General features: G+C 44.5%; 1 long non-coding RNA gene across 1 annotated transcript; it reads left to right on the top strand.

Annotated features, from left to right (window-relative positions):
• Nucleotides 1-8,535: 8,535 nt before the first annotated feature.
• Nucleotides 8,536-11,698, top strand: LOC107987207 (uncharacterized). The gene is made up of 2 exons (XR_001750875.2): nt 8,536-8,668; nt 10,524-11,698. It is a non-coding gene; the product is annotated as an uncharacterized LOC107987207 (long non-coding RNA).
• Nucleotides 11,699-21,471: the final 9,773 nt, after the last annotated feature.

Here is a 21,471-nt window from a genome sequence, read left to right as displayed (position 1 = left end):
ACTACCACTTTAAATGCTAGATAATACCTCATGGTGATCCCTTACGGTTGCTTCAACATATTATAGTTTATAAAGTGCTTTTAATACACTGTACATCACAACCATGTGACTTAATATTGTTTTATTGACTAATAAAATAACTTAAATAACATTAATAATATTTAATATTTAATCACATTAATAACATTTAACATTCCACACACATTAAAGTAATAAATGAGGAGGGTATGGCCATAAACCAGATACTGTGTAGGTGCTTCACATAATCTTACTCCATTCTTCACAGCAATGCTAAAAGGGTGACTTTAGTCACCATGCAAAATAAAATGAAGCCCAGAGAGATAAAGCAGTTGCTTGGATTAGGTCACACACCTTGTCAGTGACAGACAGAGCACAACCCCAGGTCCTCAGATGCCAATTGAAATAGTTTTTATGGTGCATAATATTAACCAGGTTTCAAACATATCATGTGTCATTTGCAAATTACATGAACCTCTCTTACAAGTGCTATCATTTGTAGAAACTTTCAATTGGTTGATCTGATGTCCGAGCACTTACTGGGTACAATGAGGATTTCCACCTTACAATGAAACCCAAGAAGGAAAAATTAAAAACAAAACAATCAGACAATCTGGAAAGTGAATTGAACATAAGCTCTCATTAGAGGAAGCAAAATCCTTTCTTTTTGGAGAAGGCATTTTGTACACCATCACATGGGAGAGGCAAGTGCAAATTTTGTACTGCAGGGGACCTGCGTGAACATATGGGCCCATTAATCATGAAATATTGATTGGGGATTGAAAGTATGAAACAGGTTCCATGACACATGGGTTTGTTTTGTTGGTCCGAAGTGTTAAGTAACACAGGAGCCATGTTAACATTCATCTCCTACTCTTCTTTTGTTAGCAGGTTAGTGCTCACCCAATTCACATATCCTCAGGTTTATGAATTATTAATCAAAAGAGCTAAAAAGTCAATCCAATCTGGTTAGATACAGTAATACTTGTGGCTTCCAAACTTTTAAATAATGAATGGTTTCATCACTTCCCCAGTGGATGTCAAGCAAGGAGAATGTCTGGAATCAAAATCCCACTGGGTAACGAAAGAAACATAGTGAAGGAAAGTAGTAATTTTTAATAATAGTAACTCCAACCTATTGTATCATCACTGCCACTCTCCAGAGAGATCATTTCAGAATGGGAAGGAGAGATGGCTTGAAAAAAGGGCTTTATGGGATCAAATATTCCCAGAAAAAGTGTTATAACATAAGGGAGTAGGTAGAGAATAAGAATACATCCACACCAATAAGTTGTAATGTTAAAAATGCATGCCTTTTAGTGTTCCTAATTCTTCAAAAGAAAAACACATCTTTAATTATTTCTTATGTTGGAGGAATTCTCTAATAAACTTCTCCTCATGTTCGGGAACTTGGAGAAGAAACATAGAATAAAAGGCAGAAATAAATGGTGTATTTAGATTGACCAAATTATTGTCAACAATAGGACTTAGTGCGGAAAGGGAGGTGTTCAGTAGGTAATAATAGAAAGAAAAGACCAACTCAGAAATAATTGGTTTTATGAGCATGGGAACGTGATAGAGAAATGGGGATGGTAATTAAGACCTAAGAGAAGAAGAAATAGTATTACGAAGTGTTGATGCATGACAAAGGATGAATTGGTGAAGCCATGCTGGAAATAAATAAAAAACTAACGGTTTCAGAACCCTCTACTGGGTTTCAGATAATTCTGTTGGGTCACTTTTGCCCTTAGGTGGGAGCACAAATGAAGATTAAACCAGGGTTGGCTGAGACTTGGATCATTTGCTGAATGTTTGGTGTTCAATTTATTCTGCCCATTCTAATTCACGCTAAACATTCTCATTCACTTAGAATATTTCATTTCACTCTGACATTCCCATTCACATTGAAACTTCCAAATCCCTCCAAAAGTTCCAAGTCACCAGTGTTAGAAATCACTGGCTATACTTAGGCTTCTATTATATGTATTCGACTAAGTGATTGTGTTGTCCTGGGGGAAGATATCTGTACAAGGAACATAGAAAACAGGAAGCAGAGTGTGCCCTTATTGTTAACTAGGCTTTTACCCCAAATCTCACTGAGGAGCTCGTTGGTGAAATGTGCTCAAACACGTGTAGGTTAATGACAAGTCCAAAGGCCTGTTATTTTTTTTTTCTTCCTCCAAAAACTATGGTTACCATATAAAACACAAGTCATCCAGTTACATTTGAATTTCAAATGAGCAAGATATTTTTGAGTACAAATGTGACCTAAATATTGTGTATGCATACTGAGAAAAAAATATTTGTTGGTCTTCTAAAATTCTAATTTAACTGGGCATCCTATATTTTTATTTGCAATCTTACTCTAAACCCAAACTCAGATCTGAAGGTATCACCATACTCCAAAGTTAATCCACACAGAAAAAATCTTAGTGACAGTGCCTCATATATAAATGAATTTGAGGTTTAACATATGTTCCCATTGCATCCTCTTCCTCCTTTTCTGTTATCCTCCCTTTTTTTCTTCCTTTCATTTTTTTTTTTTTTCTGAGCAGGTGTATCTGGAATTGCGCTACACATGAAGATTTACAAATGAATTAGACCCATCCCTTTTCTTGGAATAGCTCCTAGTCTTTTGGGAAAGAAAGGCATGCATCTATCCATTGTACAAAACAAAATGCTTTAATAGAATTTCTATCCATCCATCCATCCATCCATCCATCCATTCATCCATCCATCCATCCATCCTCCATCTGAACTCTGATTCATGGAAGAACAACTTACTGATTCTGCTCAAGGAGAAACCTTGGCACACTGTGACAATGTATCTTGAAAACAGACCTCCCATTTTTTTGGATGGTAAAACTGAGTCTTAGAGAAGTTACCCAACTGCAGAGTAGCCGGGTAAGTGGCAGATTCAGGTTATAAATCCCAATCCTTAGCCTCGATATGCAGGACAAAGCTCAACCTGCTCAGCCCCACTTTTCTTCTGCCGTTTTTTTGTCCCCTCTTTCTCACAGAACCTCTACTACCTCATGTGCCAAGGCTCACACGTCTCTCTTGGGTGACATCTGTGGTGGGCGCCGTGACTCCTGTCACCTGTGCGGGGGGCCCGGGCTGCCTCCTCCCCTCCCCCGCCTTCCTCGCCCTGGGCCTGACCGCAGGGGCTGAGTGTCTGGCCTCTGCACACCACTTTCTCAGCAGGGCACTTCCTCCCTGCACGCTGCTCCTGCAAGTTGTTTATCTCTCACAAGGATAGTAACAAAGATCGTATCGGTGAAACTCTGTCTGGGCACAGATGTCTGGCTCCCTGGCAGCTCTTCATCACCCTGCTGTGCCTCACCTTCCAGAAGTCTCCTTCCTCCTCCCCCTGGAGCCCCCTTCTTCCACACTGTGGATGATTAGTTGAAACACAGCAGGGCAGAGCAGGCAGCTGCACTGCTCCACTGAGAGTCTTGGAGCTGCCAGGAGCCAAGGCCCTTCCAGGCCTTCCAGCAACTGTTTAAACACTGGTTGCCCCTGGGCCAGGCATTAGAAGGGGACAGACAGGGAGGTCACAGGGACCCCAGATGGTAGTGAGGATAGCAGCTTGTTGAAGGATGGAAAGGAAAAGAGAGATGGGGCGGACCACGTGACTAATTTAAAATGCCCCAAGTTGGTGGTCTGGGTGCAGAGTCTTCAGATGTGCACTGTCCAGCAAGGCCTTCAGCAGTGATGGAAACATTCCCTTTCTGGGCTGTCCAAGATGGCAGCCACCTGCCCCAGGAGGCTATTGTGAACCTGAGGTATAGTGGGTATGACTGAGGAATGGGATTTTTAACTTTATTTATTTGAATTACTTTGAATGTAAGTAACCACATGTGGCTAGTAGCTAACAAATTAGAGAGCACAGTTTCACAATGTGCTGCCAGACGCCCATGTCGAAGGTGCAACCCTTCAGGCTGACGGACTAGCTCCTTTCTGACCTCTGCTAATATGAAGAGAAGTCCTTGGCTTCTTTGCTCTTGATTTATTAGTTCAGTTTCTCTATATTTAAAGTAAGATTAATAATTCTTGCCTCACCTTCTTAACAATGTGTCAGGAAAATCCAATAAAATAATGAAATAATTGATCATTTTAGCTCACAGCTTTAACATAAGCATCACCACCTTGGCAGGACGCTGCTGTGTGATCTTCCTGTACATTTCTCCCTGGCAATGCCCACAATGATTGTTTAAGATATTTGCACATGTGCAAAGCTCAAAACAAATGCAAGAAACATTCCAATACTTATGTATTGTTTTCTATTACTGAACGTGGAGAGTTGGCCTGGTGATGTGGGTGGAGTGCCCTGGGTGTCTGACCAACCTGAGTCTCAATCCCATATTTTCAGAAGACTACCAGCAGACAGGTCACTTAACCTCTTGGATATCCCACCCCCCATTGGTGAAAGCAAATCCTGATATTCATGGCATGGAAGCTGTCAGGAGAAATGAGAGGAGGTCCTGTCTTTGAGGCATCAAACGCAGTACCCAGGGTACCCACTAAAGGTCAGTGCCTGACCTTCCCATTGGAAAACAAGGGGATTGTGATGAAACATTTAGGACAAATGGTAGCCTTTGAATGCCTCGACGAAGGGCTACTGGGAACATTGCGAAGGCAAGTTCTGCAAATCTGAATGCAGCTCTTATTGGGTGCAAAAAGGACTTCTACTGTTTTCAAACCCCTGTCAAATGCCATGACATTTCTAGACTTAAGTCACTCATCTCCACTGGGTTTATTTACAAGTAGCAAAGCAAAGTTTCCGGCTTCTAAGGAAAGAGGCTTCTAAAATCATATTAAAAAGACCTCAAAAGGTTTCCTAGACATCAAACAGCCCTTAAAATAATATTTCGATGATTTGATTGTAAATAAATCAGGAACATGTGGATTAAATTTCAATCAAAATATGCATGACTTTTAAAATCAAGGGATCGGACAGAGGACTTGGCACAATGCACTTTGGGGCTTTATTGAACTCAGAGCATTTGAGAAATGCTTTGTGACATGGGACAGGGCTCAGATGGGTGCACCAGCCCCTGCTTCTTCATATACACCAAAGGAAATTGTAGCTGGGAAGGGAGTTTCCAGCTTTCAGGAGATCTGATTTGGAATGGCCTTGATGTCCTCTTACCCAGGGGCAGCCCCAAAGCACATGAGCCTCACACATTTTCTGAAAGCTGAAAGGGGAGCACCAAAGTCCACCTTGATGGCAAAGCAAGCAAGAGAAGTGAAACTTTGGGGGTAATTTTGTTTCTTCAAGTCCACAAAGAGGACAAGGCTGTCTGTCTAGTCACTGGGTGGTGACACTGAATTCACCTTCCAGCTGCTGCTGAAAGCAGACCTGCAGGGCTAAGGGACCCATGGACATGGGTCCAGGATGACCAATAAGTCTCTTCACACACATGTGCAGATACACAGGGACACACTCTCACACACACACAGATGCATAAGTGCATACACACAGGCAAACGTGAGCAAAGGAGGAAGTAGATTTGGGAGACTGTCTACATGCTGCTGGACCCAATCCACTCTCTTCTTCCTTTTGATCATGGACCCTTTCCTCCCATTCTCTAAATGAATTCAAGCCAGCAAGTTACAGTAGAAATGAGGGATCTTTCCTCTTCTCTCCTCCCCTCCCCCTCTCTCCCTTCTTTCCCTTCCCTCCCTCCATCCCTCTCTCTCTTTCCCTTTCTCCCCTCTGCCCCTCTTCTCTCTCTTCCCTTCTTTCCCTTCCCTCCCTCCGTCCCTCTCTCTCTTTCCCTTTCTCCCCTCTGCCCCTCCCTCTCTCCTTTCTTTGCTTTATGCACTCCATTGCTTCTTATGAGCCTTTCTCCTATGCAAACCCAGGCTTTATAATGCATCCTGTTCAAATCAATCCCAAATGTCCTTTCCTACTCAAGGGAAGCCCAGGTTCCTGCTAGTTCTCACCCCTACTGCTTGACACTGGCTGCCCCCTCTGGCAGGCAGTTGATGGCTGCTGCAAGCCGCGTGGCACGCCGTGCACAATGGGAGACCCCAGGTTCAAGCAGGAGTGCAGCTGAGTCTGAGGCTCCCAGCAGTGAAGCTGACGATTGGACTTTCTCGGTGGTGTGAGACTTGTATGCACACGGCTTGCCTGAGGACGCCAAGCCTCAGAGCCTGAGCATGGTTTGAGAGGAGGGACAGGGTTGAACTAGACCAGCTACATACAGGCTCCTAGGCACCTGAATGACCCCATCCGCAGGTTGCTCGGTTGCTCCCAAGTGCACAGAATCTGAAGACCTGAGACTTGGGCTGCTGCATTTACAGTTGAGTGACTGTCAGACAAGGTAGCTCTCAAGGACCTCAGGTTCTTCATTTCCTGCAAGAGAATTTTAGAGAAATTGGACCACAGGGTTCCTTGGATGGACAAAGAAACCTGTGTCTAAAACAAGGCAGTGTATAGTTGTCAGTCATTACCATCATGGGTGGTGTGGGCAGGGTGTCCATGTGACAGGGGCCTTCTTCAGCTGCCTGCAGTGGTGATCCTCACTGCAGGCACCACCCCTAGCCTCAGCAGGCCAACCAGGGGTGCTGGGGTTGGTCTTGCCTTCAGGGTGCCTGAAAGTGCCTGGAGGACAGCACTGGAGTGGTGGCTGGGAATTGCCTGCTGGGAAACTTAGCAATTGCAAGACATTGGCCCAATGGGAACAGCCCAGAGCCCTGACCCTAGTACATAGCAGAAGAAATAGCCCCAAGATGAGAGTGACAATGGTGGAATGACGGTTGTGGCTACAAAATCATGGCCACCACTGTGCCGAGTGCTCTCCCACCTCCTTTTATCCTCCAGAGAATCCTGGGTCCTAGGCAACATCATTTGCATTTCACAAAAGAAGAAACTCAGTTTCTGTGGCATTACTGACTCACAGAAGGACACACTGGGAGGAACTGATAGAGCTTGGACACTAAGAATTAGGGTCCATACAACCGTCAAGGAAGTTTGCTTATTGTAAGCGTGGGATGACATAAAATATATCCAAACAACTTGCCAACACTGAAGATCTATTCAAAGAGTCTTTTAGTAAGTCAAATACCATAAAAATCTAACATTAGCACTAAGATATCAATATTAATTCTATTGCTACTAATATAATCAGTAGTGATACTAATTATTACTGCTGATGACAGTGGCAACAGAGGGCCAGAGGTGGTTCAGTCTGTTTCAGCCCACGTTTCCTAATGGAGATCTGCTAAGCTTTGGGCACTGCGTGTGTTGACATATCACTGATTTATCTTGAGTGCTATATTCACAGGGATTGGGATGCTGAATCTTGAAACATGATACTATTCGGTAGGTTCATATCTCACTTGTCCGGTAAGACCAGGTATCCCCAAGTTACTTTGCTGGTCCTGGGAACCCCTCCAAGGATGATTCATTGAGGACTGCTCCCGTCCATGCATGCTACAAAAAACCATCCTGAGGACAGAGTGGTCTCTTCACTTTCGATGTGAGCAGCAGTTCTCACTTGGCTGAGAGGTCCTGTCTTCTGTCACTCCCATCCCTGCAGATATTTCAAAGTACCTAGTGGGCAGGAAATGGCCAATGTCTAGCTCTGCTGTTGTAGTTAAGCAGCATTGAACAAGCTGGGAAAGTGCTCTTCTCCTTGGTTTTTTCATCTTCCCCATGGGCAGCTCTATTTCCACCATGGAAATTGAAGACATACTGTATGAATGATGCCTGCGCAGGCCCTGGCTCTAGCTGTGGGTCAGGGCCTATTTGCTACTCTGAGCTCCCTTCCAAGCCTGGGGCTGACTCTGAGCATCAGTACCAAGGAAGATGCTCTAGCACACACCCACCAGTGTGGGGTGGACTGGGGAGGGCGTGGAGGTGGATGGGCAGACGTGACTTCAGCTCTTGGCTCTGTATGCACTGAAGGGCAGAAACCAGGCCAGGCTCAGAATATTCTACAGCTTAGTTTCCTTATCTCTAGAGAGAATAATATCTGCCTCTCAGGACAATGGCAAGAATTAAATGCAAGCAAGTGCTAGCATATTGGAAGACAGAAGTTGTTTTTTAAAAATATTTATTCTCTCCTGTCCTTCCCAGAGCAAATGTTTCAACAATGGCGTCAGAGTTGGGGTTGGGGAGGAAAGAGAGTTGGGGGAAGGAGCTGGTCTTCACACTCATGGGTTGCTTTCCAGTTTATGGAATTCTTTAACAAATCTACCCCTATATGACAAATTTACAACAATCTGAGGGGGGAGGTATTATTATCACACCCATTTTACAGACTTAGAATCTGAGGCACTGTTGGCTTAAAAGAACTGCCAAGCTGCCCAGTTGGGCCTGCCAAATGCCCCTATAACCTTTAGTGGCATTGTTCCTCACAAACTTCCCACCTGTTTGGGAAGTCCCAGTTAGGGTCCCTTAGGTTCAAAGCCAAGGCCATAGACTTTGAGAACATGCCCTATTTGTTCAGGTTGTACTTAGAGAAAGGAGGCGGGCATGGGGGTGAGGGCTTGACCGAGGATTCCTTCCTTCTGCAGGTTCCTCTTTGAAGATGAAAACAATTCAACAACCTTCTTCTCCATGCCTTTCAGAATGAATTTCTTCTTCTCCCGGATTTTTCTTTCAATTCTTGGCTGAAGTTTCAAGCTGTGATCACTCCAGGTAAGAGCAGAATTTGAGTTAACTTTGTGCATCAGAGAGACCAAGGCAGGCAAGGTGAAGGAAAAAGATTGCAGCATCCCCGGTGCGTTCCCAGCCCTACCTCCCCTCGTATTCTAGTTTCTGTGTCTTTGTTCACACTGATCCTGTAGCTGGGTGGCCACTGTCTCTAACCCATCGGCTTGTCTACACCTCTACCTTCAGACACCCTTTGACACACCTTTCCAAGGAAGGCAGTCATCCCCACACTCCCTTCTCTCCACTCCCAAACCCCTGAATGCATTTCTATGAAATTAATGTGCTCAAGCTTCTGACCTCTCTGCAAGGGGCCCCAGGGGTCTCTCCTCTGTAGTTAACACTCAGCATTTTATCTTCTCCAACTCAGACCCCCTAAATGTCTCTGCCCCAGTCTCTGTTGCTATTAATCCAGTGTTGGCCGCAGGCAAAGCTGTTATTCACTCCTAAATGCCTCCATCACTCCCATTCAGGCTCTCTGACCTTTGGCCCCACACCCGAGTTCCCACTACCCAGCCCAGTCTCCTGCTGGTGTTCTGATCTTTTAGGCTTCTCCAGCTCAAAAGCTCAGCATGAGTCAGAATCAGAATTCACCCCTGATTCTGAGGCACTGCAGCCAGAGGGAAAGTCTCCCCACCTTCCACTCTGGCCCCTGTAGGTGCAGGAAGGCAAGGCCAGCCCCTACTGGCCATGAGGTGTGGCCTCTAGCTTCTAAGCTTGACTCTCCCACTCACCAGCCACACGTCCTTCCCTGGCTGCTCCTCTGCGTGTGATAAACTTCTCTCTGGATCATGGTTTCTTCATCTGGAGAATGAGGGAGTTGAACCACATGTGTGTAAGAGTACCTCCTGCTTCTATGATACCTTTTCAAATGGCTGAATATTTGGAATATCTTTCTTTAAGGGACCTCAGAAAAGCTCAAGACCCAAGGCTAATTTTATTAATAAAGCCAGCCTTGTGGAATCTCTAAGAATTAATCATTAGACTCTTTTCAAAGTTATCTATTAATGACCTGAAAAAAGACAAAGACAACCTCATCTGATGTGTGCATAGCCCAAGGGAGAGGCAATGGGAGATATTGTAATGCAATCTCCCAGACCCCAAAAAAGATGCCGACAAACTAGAATGATGAGCTAGCTACATTGGAGTGGATTTTCCTTGTAGAGGAAATTAAATCTGAGCAGAATCCTAAAAGATACTTTTCCTGTGAAGAAAATGAAGACATTTAAGCTGTTGTAGGGATTGGAAACACCGGGGAGACCTGATTTCTGTCTTCAAAGTTGAGAAGGCCACAGATCCCCCATTTGGCATCATAAAGCACGCGCTCATGGACAAAAGAAACCAGATTCAACTGCAGAGTTACAGCCTGCAGTGGCAGTGGTAGTGACGGGCATTGTGGTGAGACTGACGTTTGCTCTCAGTAAGGGACTTTGGACAGCAGGTGTGCCCTGCCAGGTTTCCTTCATTAGGCAGGGGTTTCCAGAGGAGCTACTCTACCTGAGAAGCAAAAGTGACCAAGACAGAGGAACTTCTTCTCTCCTAATCGTGCACTTCAGAGGAGGAGATACATGATAGTACCCAGGTAAATGCATGCATAAACAGCCCATAATAGTACAGAGATAAACACAAGCATAGATAGTACAGAATCATATATAGGTAAGCACATGCATATCCAGTATATAATAGGACACAGGTGCTGTGGTTTGGAGGTTTCTGTCCCCTCCAAAACTCATGTTGAAACTTAATCCCCATTGTAATCACGTTGGGAGGTGTAGCCTAATGGAAAGTGTTTAGGTCATGAGGTCTCTGCCCTCATTAATAAATTAATGCTTCTATACAAAAGGATTGCAGGAATGAGTTTGCCCTTCTCTTCTGCTCTTGGATCATGTGAGGACACAGAGTTCCTTTCCCTGAAAATGCACCAACGAGGCACCACCTTGGAAGTGGAGACCAGGCCCTTAACAGACACCAAACCTATAGGAATCTTGATGTTGGATCTCCCAGCCTCCAAAACTGTGAGAAATAGATTTATGTTCTTTATAAATCACCCAGTCTGTGGTGCTCTATTATAGCAGCACAAAACAGACTAAGATAGCAGGTACATACGGACAAACGGTATATGATTGTACACAGGTGAACATGTACTTAAACAGAATATGGTAGTGCACAAGCAAACACATGCATAAACAGTACGTAGTCACACACAGGCTAATGCATACATAGGCCAGATCATTTCCCACATTGGCAGTACTATGAAGGGGATGAAGATGGGCTCAGAGGATCGGGAGTGGATAGAGGTCCAGGGCAGTAAGAGCCACTGTAGATGAGGTGGTCAGGGAAGGTGTCCCTGAAAAGATTCCACCTGAACTGACACCAAAGGGCAGGGGTGGGCAGCGATGAAAAGGGCCCCTCTCTCAGGCAGGGAGCAGCAAATTCATTATCATTGAGGCAGGACGCAGCTTAGCATTGCTCAGGACAATATGATCAGTGTGGCTGGAGATCAGTGCACTTTCGGAGGTGACATGGATTGAGGTTAGGAAGACTAGCAGGTGTTGACTCCTCCAGGTCTTAATTTATAAGGGTAGCAGATCTGATAGGCTACTTGTGATGTGGTGAGCGCCCCATCAACTGGGCAATGGAAAGAGGGGCTGGGTGACCACTGATCAGCAATGTCGGAAGTGGGAGAGAGTGAGGAAGAAATTGAAGTGGAATGCTTTAAAGCACTGTCCGTCTTTGACATCAAGACACTCACTTTGCTGAGCTCAGAGACATCTGAAGTTTAATCACCTGCAGATTTGATTGAATGTATTTTGCCAATATTGAGGGACAGCCACCATGAGGAGAAGTGCCAGTGCAGCTGCCAACTGAGGAGAGGCCAGGACCTCAGTACCATGGATACAGCAAATGTGGACAGAGCCAGTGCCGTGGCTCATTTAGAGCCAGATGTGAAAGGCAGCTGGCTGTGCCTCCTTGCTTTGACTGCTGAAAACCATAAATAAATACATGTAAAAAGTTGGATGTTAGCTCTGTCATTATTTTACAATGATGATAGGACGTTAGAATATGAATGCAGTTTGAAAGATAGCACTGTCTTTGATACATCAAAAAGCCCTCTCCACTTGACTAGAACTTTGGAGGGACGCTACTAGGATAAACTCCTCCCTGCCTGTTCTCCTGATGTTGTATTACGATGACAGAAGCTCTCAATGTATCAACTTAATTTCAGTTCAAAAACCGTCTTAGTTCTGCCCTAGTGAAGTCAAATGGAGTTTTATCATTTTTTCTTGGGCATAAGATGCTCAATTTTCCAGAGGGAAAAAATGCAGAATGGAGCTGAAAATGTAATCATATTTGGGAGAAATGGGTAATCATATTCTTGTGGTATTAAAGACTTCTCTAAGAAAACTCTGCTACCAAGAATGGGGTCACAGGGTTGAGAATCCATCTGACACTGTGGAAGAAAGGCAATGTTATCCCTATCTACATTTCCAGAATCTGATATCTATTTTCTCCCCATTCGCTTGCCCATGGTATGGCTACATCTGCATCTATACAGTGGATTTTCCATCTACTCATCCTTCTTTGATCAGAGCTCAACCTCTGTGAGCTTTGATTTCCAATTCCTAGAATAGAGACAGGGTACTTGCCCCTGAGCCCCTCAATACCCGGTGACTGAATTCCCTCTGTTTTGGCTTTCGTGACACTGTCCAGGTACACTCCCCTTTAATGGAGACTTCTGAGTCTGCTCTGGTTCTAGAAAGGCAGTCTAAGTTAATTTCCACAATTTTCATTGTATTGGCAAAGAACTTGAGGCTTTGTTGTTCAAGAAACTTCCCAGTATCTATTAAGGGGCAGATCTATTTATCAAACCCAGACTTACAGATGCCAGTGTCCAGGCTTTGCCCTGTTCCCCATAATTGCCCCTAAGAACCATCTGTAGCACATCTGAGATGGAGCCACGGAGTCCTAGTCTGGCCTCCTGGAATCCACCCACTCCTGTCTGGGGAGCTGCCTGCCCTTTGCTGGCCCTTCTGATGAAGGCTCCACTCCATCTGGTGAGACCTGGGAGCCTCTGGTCCGGTTACCAGCTAGCCCTCCCATCTCCCATATCTTGAAGTCTGCTGGGAGGGAGGACTCGGGTAATAACCACGCTAATGACAAAGCGCTAACTGAAGACCCCAGTAACCTCTTGGTTTCCTCCCTTCCCATGGCCGTGGCATAATGAAGCCGGGCAGGCACTTGGGGAGTAATCGGATCCAGCTCAGGGTTAGCTAAGAGGTGGTTTGTGGTCAGGTGTCCAACAGATGGGTTCAAATTACCTGACTTTAATTTCAAGTAATTGGTGAGCTGGATTACCCTCCAGCTCAGGGGACCTGGAACTATATGTCTTTTACTATCAGCCCTGAAGGAAAAGGAGAGTCTGCTCCATGGGGGTGGTGAGGGTAGGGGTGGGAAAGGCCAGGGTCCGGACACAGGGGTATCCAAATGATTCCAGAGGCTGGGCCAGAGTCCCTCAACCTTCAAGGAAGTTTTCTAATGATAGGTTAAGATTCTATTGCAGAACTTGCAAAGACTTCTCTCCAGATGATGGAAGAGAGTTAAAATCATAAAGGGTGAGATTTGGTTATGTAATTCTCTCTCTTCTGGTTTTTTTTTTTGTTGTTGTTTTGTTTAATTACCAATATGTTTATGCAAATGCACATATTTCCAAATGCTTGTTTAGTCTGCTTGTGCATCTATTTATACTCTTAATAATCACTAGACTTTACTGGGGATGTCCAGGCACTTGGCTAATTGTTTTACATGTCAGAGCTTCTCCAATGTTCCAATGACCCTTATGGGGTAGAGACTCACAGCTATCACTTTACAGATGTGAATAGTGATAGTGAAAGGGGTGGATGGGCCTGCCCCTGGTCCATGGTTCCTCATGGAGAGCTGGATCTCAGCACAGTAAACCACCTCAAAGGCTCCATCCCTTTGTCTCTGCTGAGTGCAAGCTCTTCAACTCCTCTCAGGAAGATGACAAGGACTTTCATCCCAACGCCTCCACTCCTGCTCTCTCCCTAGTCTCTTCATCTTGTGTTCATTCATTTATTTATTCTTGCAAAAATCACATCCCCAAGTCTGTATTTAGCCTGTGCTTGACCTATATTAGACATTCAATAAACATTTTGAGGGTGAATCAATGAACACGAATGCAAGGGTTAATAAGACAGGGCTCTTCCATCAACAGGTTATGCATACCTGGTGAGAACAAAACTATAAACACATCCACGCACACCAAGATGGTAATTTCACAATATATAGTGATAAAAAGAATTGTGAGAAAAAAATGAAGCCACATTTGCAAAAAAGTGAAGTGCCTTACACAGCATTGGGTGCATATGTAATAAGTGGTCAGTGAGCAGGCTGGGTAGCTTCCCCAGTTGACTATTGTTTCCACAGGTGGGACATGTTTGCGTGTGCATATGTGTGTGTGTGTGTGTGTGTGTGCATGTGCATATATGTGTGTTTGTGTGAACAAATCTGTGCATGTATGTGTATGAGTGTTTGCCGTGTCTTTAATCTTCTGCGTTTTCAGCTGCTGGTCCATGCCTGGTCATATTCTTGGTACTCAGATTATGATGGATGTTTAAATAAATAAAAAACAAGGCCTGAGACCAAGTGAAGAGGCAGTTAAAATGTCACCCCAAAGCTTCCTGAGGGCTCTTGAAAGGCGGTCTGAGTTATTTTGTATTCTGTATTTGTGCTAAGAAGTGCTGTCTGACAGAGCATCTGGGAAGAAAACCAAGAGCAAATATAGCCATCTTGATCCTACCTGCTTGAGAGCTGTAAGCCACAGCTTTCAGAGAGATGTTCCAGTGAGAGAGAGGGGCTAGCTGGGAAAGAATTAGACTACAAACAGGGAAGTTTCATTGTCTGCAAAGTGGGGAGACTCCAGATTGTGTGGGGCTGTGGAATAATAATCTGACATCACCTGTGGAAGGCTCTCAGTTGTTGTCTGGTCAGTTGGACAGACCCTCAGCCTTGACCATCCTCACTTTGCACATCTGCAGCATGGAACCCACAAGGCATCCAATGGGGTTGCTGTAACTCTCAGATGAGGCGATGGATGTTTCCAATTGCTTTAGATTCACTGTCACATGCCACAAGAGGGCTGGCATATTTATTAATTTACAATGTATGAACTTGTAATATCTTACTGAATAGCAAGCGTGGTCCTTGCACCTCTAGTGCATTATGTAATCGCCATGGCCAACTGAACAATTCTCACATGAAGCTTGTCTACTTTACTTAGGTGGCCACTGAGAGAGCTCGGGCCCCCAGACAGTTAAACCACGCTGGGGCCACCTGGTACTTGAAGCACCTTAAGGGCCTTCATAAAACTGCTGGGTGACCACAAAACTAACCACCAGTTCCTCTGGAGCCCAGCCCAGCAGTGTGAACCCGAACCGCGGGAGAAAAAGGTGATGCAGCACTTTGTCACTCCCTGTCTCGAGCAGGCAGGCAGGCCAGGGGCAGCCAGCCCAGTTATCAGTTTCTCACAGAAACCTGCTCCGGTCAGCCTGCCTGGAAAGTCCCACGGGGTGAGGACGCTGGTGCTCTGCCTCCTCTGTCTATGTCTGGGCTGTTCCCTCAGGGGCAGCAGATCTTGAATCCTTAGCATTGTCAAGAGTTCCAGTGACTTTGGGTTCAAAGGGTATGGTCTTTCAGATAAGATTGGCTTTTCCTGGGTGTCCTTAGGAAGCTGGAGGGGATGCTGGAACAAATCATGTGTTGGAAAATGCACCTAGTAATGGGAACATCTCAGCAGTGTCTTGATCACTGTAGAGTTCAGACATTTGGGGACAGAGTCTGAGTGTATATTGCTTTCCTCCCTAAATCTTAGGCCACTCTAACTCTGACTATACTACTTTGCAACCTTCCTGACACACACACACACACACACACACACACTCTTTCTCTCTCTCTCTCTCTCTCTCAATCATCCTGTCAATTCTTCCTTGGAAAACCAGCAAGTTCTGATTGCTTAGTTTATCAAACCCCCTTGTGATCGAGGTAATGAAAACATTACCTTGGAAGCCAGTCCCCGGGTTTGAATCCCAGGGTCACCACATACTAACCACGTGGTCTGGGCAGCTCATCTGTCCTCCTTGCTCTGTCCATTCTGTCTCAGTAGGTCTAGGGATGAGGTCTGGGAATCTGGGTTAAAGCAAACCACTGCAGTGGTTCACGGGCTACTCTGAGAAACCCTGCACTGATGGAGGGTGGGGGGCCCAGGGATGAAGTTCTGAGGGTTAGTGACCCCTGGAAATGGTAAGAAAGATAGTATTACTCGTGTGTGTTTCCATGTGGGAAGAGACAAAGTGTCATTGAGTCTCAAAGGGCTCTTTGGCCCAAAACAACTTAGAACCAGAAGGTAGAAAAGAGAGGAGAGCTGGCAATGACTCCAAGGGTTAGAGCCTATCCTCCTAGAAGAACATGGCACCCCTACCCTATTGGTGTGGCAGATAATAGGGAGACAGTAGTTCTGTTTAAATATGTGAAGATCCAGAACTGTGGGTGGATGGCAAGTTATTTAAACAACAACGTCCCAGGAAACACAGGGAAGACCAACTAGCCCTTCAAGGCTTCCGGTGCACAGCTCCCTGACACTGCAGGCTCTGGAAGTAGCCCCACGGAGAAGAGGAATGGGAATGATTGCAAAAAGTCCAGACAGTGAAGGTGAAAAGGAATCGAGGCTTTGCAGATGAGGTAGGACTTGAGGTGCACTTGGAATGATGGCAGTGTGCTTATTTTCCAACATAGCTTATGCACGTAGAAAGAAAAAAAAAAGATTCTGAGTTTCTACAGAGTTTTCAAAATCCCCCAGTTCATGGACCCTTGCTGGTACTTTGGTGGTGGAATGAAACAGGTCTCCAAACTCTTCACACAGGATCCTTTGTATCAACACCACCCAGAAAACATTGCTTGTCTTTTCCTTGAAGACATGTTCCATTTGGGGAATTTTTTTTTCATGGCATCACAATCTCCAAGCCAAAGACTCTAGTCCCAAGATTCTGGTGTTTGTCTTTCAGGGTGGAAAGCTCAGAGTGTCATCTTGGCCCACTATTCAGCAGACAGAACAAAGAAGAAGAGAGATCCAGCAGACTCCCTAAAATTATTGTAGTAGCTCAAACACAAACTTTACCTAAACACTGATTGTGTTAGTCCAATCCCACCATTAATCTTCTGCCAACTGCATTTAGGAGGTGAAAGGCTGCTCTTTGATACTCAGTGTCCCTCCCTATGCTGCTGAATGGACAAAGGAGAAGATATGAGAAAGAAACAATCACTCAGTTGCGGTGGCTCATGCCTGTAATCCCTGCAATTTGGGTTGCCGAGGCAGGTGGATCACCTGAGGTCAGGAGTTCAAGACTAGCCTGGACAATACGGTGAAACCCCATCTCTACTAAAAATACAAAAATTAGCTGGGTGTAGTGGCAGGCACCTGTAATCCCAGCTACTCAAGAGGCTGAGGCGGGAGAATCGCTGGAAGGTGGAGAATGCAGTGAGCCGAGATCGCACCACTGCACTCCATCCTGGGTTAAAGTGCGAAACTCTGTCTCAAAAAAAAAAAAAAAAAAATAGCCAGGCATGGTGGCAAATTCCTATAGTCCCAGCTACTTGGGAGGCTGAGGCAGGAGAATCACTTGAACATGGGAGGTGGAGGTTGCAGTGCCCCAAGATCGCGCCACTGCACTCCAGCCTGGGTGACAGAGCAACACTCTGTCTCAAAAAAAAAAAAAAAAAAAAAAGAGAGAGAGAAAGAAAACAGAGTCATTCCAATCCCATGCAGATTTACTGAGTACTTACTATATGGTTCACCTGATGCAGGATCTAAAGAAAGAAGGTCTTAGAACCAAAGCCTTGCTTAAGATATTTCTGGCCTTATGACTGTTTGATGCAAAACTCAAAAGTTGTTAAGACTGTCCTGGCACCATTTTGTTCAGCCTGTAGGACCTATCACTAGGTCCTGAAACTCCCAAAACCTCAGTGTCCCATCTTTAAGACAAAGAATAGCCAAATTCTCCTCTCCATTCACGTTCTCTCAACAGGATGCCGAGACAAAAGCGGAGTCAGACTTTTGAAACTGAAATTCCTTGGGTGGGAGGTGGGCTTCACACCCTGGGCTTCCAGCACCACCCACAGGCATTTCAGAAGCTCACTTCTTATTTCAGCATCTGACAAATAAAAAGAAAAGACCAAAAAAAAAAAAAGTAATACTCTATTCCGTGTCAACAGTTTCTTCCTTTTTGCATCTAGATGTGAAGGCTGCCAACCACTCCTTAAAAAGATACAAGCTTTGCAATATGAATCCATGACCCCATATTTGAAACCTTTGTGCCCTTTGGCATTCAGTATGTTTCAGATTTAGAACAGTAATATGTTGCATGCACTCAGTATTATTTAACACCCCCAGTGGAGCCTGGGGCAGTGCCCTGCAATCAAGCCCATTAATATTTCTGCAGAAAAATGTATGAATATGCACACCAAGTCGGATAAATAAAGACTATCAACAGCCCAGTGTCGGTCCAGGTCAACTTTTGCTGCCTAATGAGTTCAGATCAGGCCAGTTGTTGCAGTCAAATAAGTCATAAAATGTAAGCCTTCAGAGCGTTTGGGCTTCCAGAATTGTAGGTAAGGGATTGCAGACCTGTAATAGCAAGAAGCATTGAGTGAGAGTTTATCATGTGCCAGCCAGTGTGCTAAGTGTGCCCAGCCGCATGGGCAGGTGTTCCTATTACCCCCCATGCTGTAGCAAAGAAACAGAGTCTGAGTGAGGGTGATGTGGGTAAACCTGAGCAGGGGGGGTCTTTCTGCCTCGTTCCAAGGCTCCATTCTGAATGAAGGCATCAGAACAAAGTCCTATGCCTGTCAGCTGAGAGTGATAGGAATGATTTGAAAATGTAAGTGGCTTGCGTGGGCCAAAAAAGCAGCTCATTCTGACACTCCTAATTTTACTGGTACCTCCTCCCAGCCAAGAAGAGAGGATAATATTAACATAAGGGGAATCAGAGAACAAGTAGAACATAGACATGCCAGTTTCTCCCCTTGGGTGTTGAGGAATCAGGAGTCCTGTCTAACCAGACTGGAATTTTCAGCCTCAAGGACCACAGAGACTCCTCACTTCTCCTCCTTCCCAAAGCGTGAGCCTCATGACTGATTGCCTTGTCTCCAGATTGGCTATTTCTAACATCCCTCACACCATGGTTAGATTTATCTTCCTAAAATGTTTCTCTGAACATATTATTTCTCTGCTGAAAATACTCCAGGGCTTCCTGCTGTCTACAGAAGAAGTTCACATGTTTTGACTTGGCCTCCAAAGGATGCACTGGATACCTCCTCAGATAAACTAAACCATGTGATGTCACTGCATAGCCCCCCATTTTCCCATACCATGTTCTATTGCTACCACCATCTCTCAACCTTTGCCATCTTTCCTTTGTGTTTTAAGCAACAGTTTCTTCAGCTCCAAGATCACCTCCTCAAAGAAGGCTTGTCTATGGCCCACCAAATGGAAGCAGACCTGTGTATTCTCAGCTTATGTTGCCTTTGCTTCTCTTCTGACAGCTTTCAAATGCCTCTTCAGTTCAATTATTCTTTCAGCTCCCCTTTGTTTAATATGGCAAATGGGACCCCATTTTATCAATCAAATTATTAGTATCTTATCAGTTAATCTGTATAATTTTATACTGTTATGTTGAATAAATGAAACCCAGTAGGTTGCAAATGTAAATCCAGATTAGCTTAGCTTCAGAACAAGTAGGCTACATATTCAGTTCCCTACTTGCATAGGTGTGCAACCTGGGAGGTTCTCAGATAACAGCCCAAGTGTTAGGGTATTGCTTGTCAAATATGTTCCTTGCTCTATGATAACAAAAAAATCTAACTTCAAAAGATTCCTTATAACCAACTATTTATCTACCCATTCTTATCTATGTGAATAGATAATATGTTATCCCCTTCAATTATTCTCTAAAAAACTCACAAAGATTATAAACCAAAGAGGAAACAAGTCATTTCTTTTAGCTCTATACTACTTCAAATGTCACTGCTCCTCTCGGTCCAGCTTCTTAGAGCAATTACATGCACCATCAGGATCCTTGGTGATTTTGTAGACTTTCTTGGTCTTTAGTTGATAGTTCAAGGCTTTGGAGAGGTATCAAGGATGCTTGCAAAGATGGCAACTAAAGGCCTGGGTAATCCTTCAACGAATGGATCCCTTGTTTTCTGCATTCACCCATGTTTGGCTTAGTCAGTTGTGGTATGTCTATAAGCAGATTTCCAAGCTTCTTTTGCTGAATTCTGAATGGCAGATAAAAGATTTCCCAGTGATTTGATCTTAATGGTGTTTTGGGGAGTTGAGGGGTTGAACTCTTTATGGGAGAAGTGAATTTTCATGGAGAGATCAGGCTTTCTGTGATTCTTTAGATAGGCAAGAGACTGCAGTGCTGAATTGAACCTCAGAATGGGGCTCTTCTTTTTCTCTTGCTCAGCGAGTCTTCCAGCATTTATGTTAGCTTCACAGTCCTAAGGCAGCCATGCAACAGGAAGCCCTTCTAATTATTCCCAGTGATTCTTATAAACATATCTTTCTTTATCAGTTTCCCAGACTCAGTCCTGGTCATCCCTGACCTCAAGGCTCTCCTAGTCTAGAAGAAGAGGTGAACACTGGCCCATTACACCTGACTTAGGCCCTCCCTCTTTCCCCAGCCCTTTGAGATGCTGGAGATGACTTGCCTGCTGACCCAGCTCCCATGTCATCCTTGAGAGTGTGGGCAGCTCCAACATGACTTTCCTTCTGGAGTTTGGGCCACCAGGAGTGGGCGTACTTCTGCCTGTCACTAAGCAGACATGACATGAGTGGGTACAACTGACATGTTTTTTTTTTTTTTCCTTTTGGATGTGTGGGTGCCTGCAAGATTTTCTTTTCTTCCTTCCTTTCAGAAGTGCAGCAGGGAGAATGCCAATCAGGAGTTGGTGGTTCCATCCACAGCCATTCAACCGGCCACCCTGACTGAGTTCCTCAAATCATAGACATCTATGACACTGTGGCATTGAGATCTGACAGTATGCGGCTTCCTCACTCTCCCATGTTGGAGGATGCTCAGAGTGCTGCCGGAACAGGACACAGAGATAGCACAGATCTTTCTACTAATAGAACACCAATACTGTGGAAGACTAATACTAGCACATACTATAATAAAAGTAGGGCTTTCTGTTCCTGTATACGAATGTTTTAGCTTACATTTCACTTCTTTCACTTTCTTCATGGAAAGCTTGCAGCCTCATCTTCCCAATATAGTTAATATTCTCTTTACACTTCCTGCGATGGCTCCCATCCCATTCCATGCTTTCCCTTCCACTGCATGCCTTATGCATGTCGGTCTATGTTCAATGTCTGCGTTTGCCATTAGACTATGAGCTTCACTAGGAGGAAGAGTGAGTAAGTGGGTCTTATTCATCATTGTCCTCTCAGTGTCCAGTATGGTTCCTGGCATAGAGTAGGTATTTAATAAATACATGTACAATTGAAATAGGATTCAGTATTAACTTTAATGACCCCAAAGACTTCTAAGTGATGCAAGAGAGATCTTATTAGTCTAATTTAAAGATGAGGAAACAGGTTCAGAGTTGGTGACTGGGATTAAGCCAAAGCTCTAGAGCCTATTTTCTAACTCATATTGATATTTTCGGGGAAAAAAAATATGAAATTTTGGTCAAGACCAGAGAAATGTTTGATATTC

Source organism: Homo sapiens, chromosome 14 (genome assembly GCF_000001405.40).
Source record: "Homo sapiens chromosome 14, GRCh38.p14 Primary Assembly".
Classification (NCBI taxonomy): Eukaryota; Metazoa; Chordata; class Mammalia; order Primates; family Hominidae; genus Homo; species Homo sapiens.
This window is presented reverse-complemented; position numbering and strand designations above follow the sequence as displayed.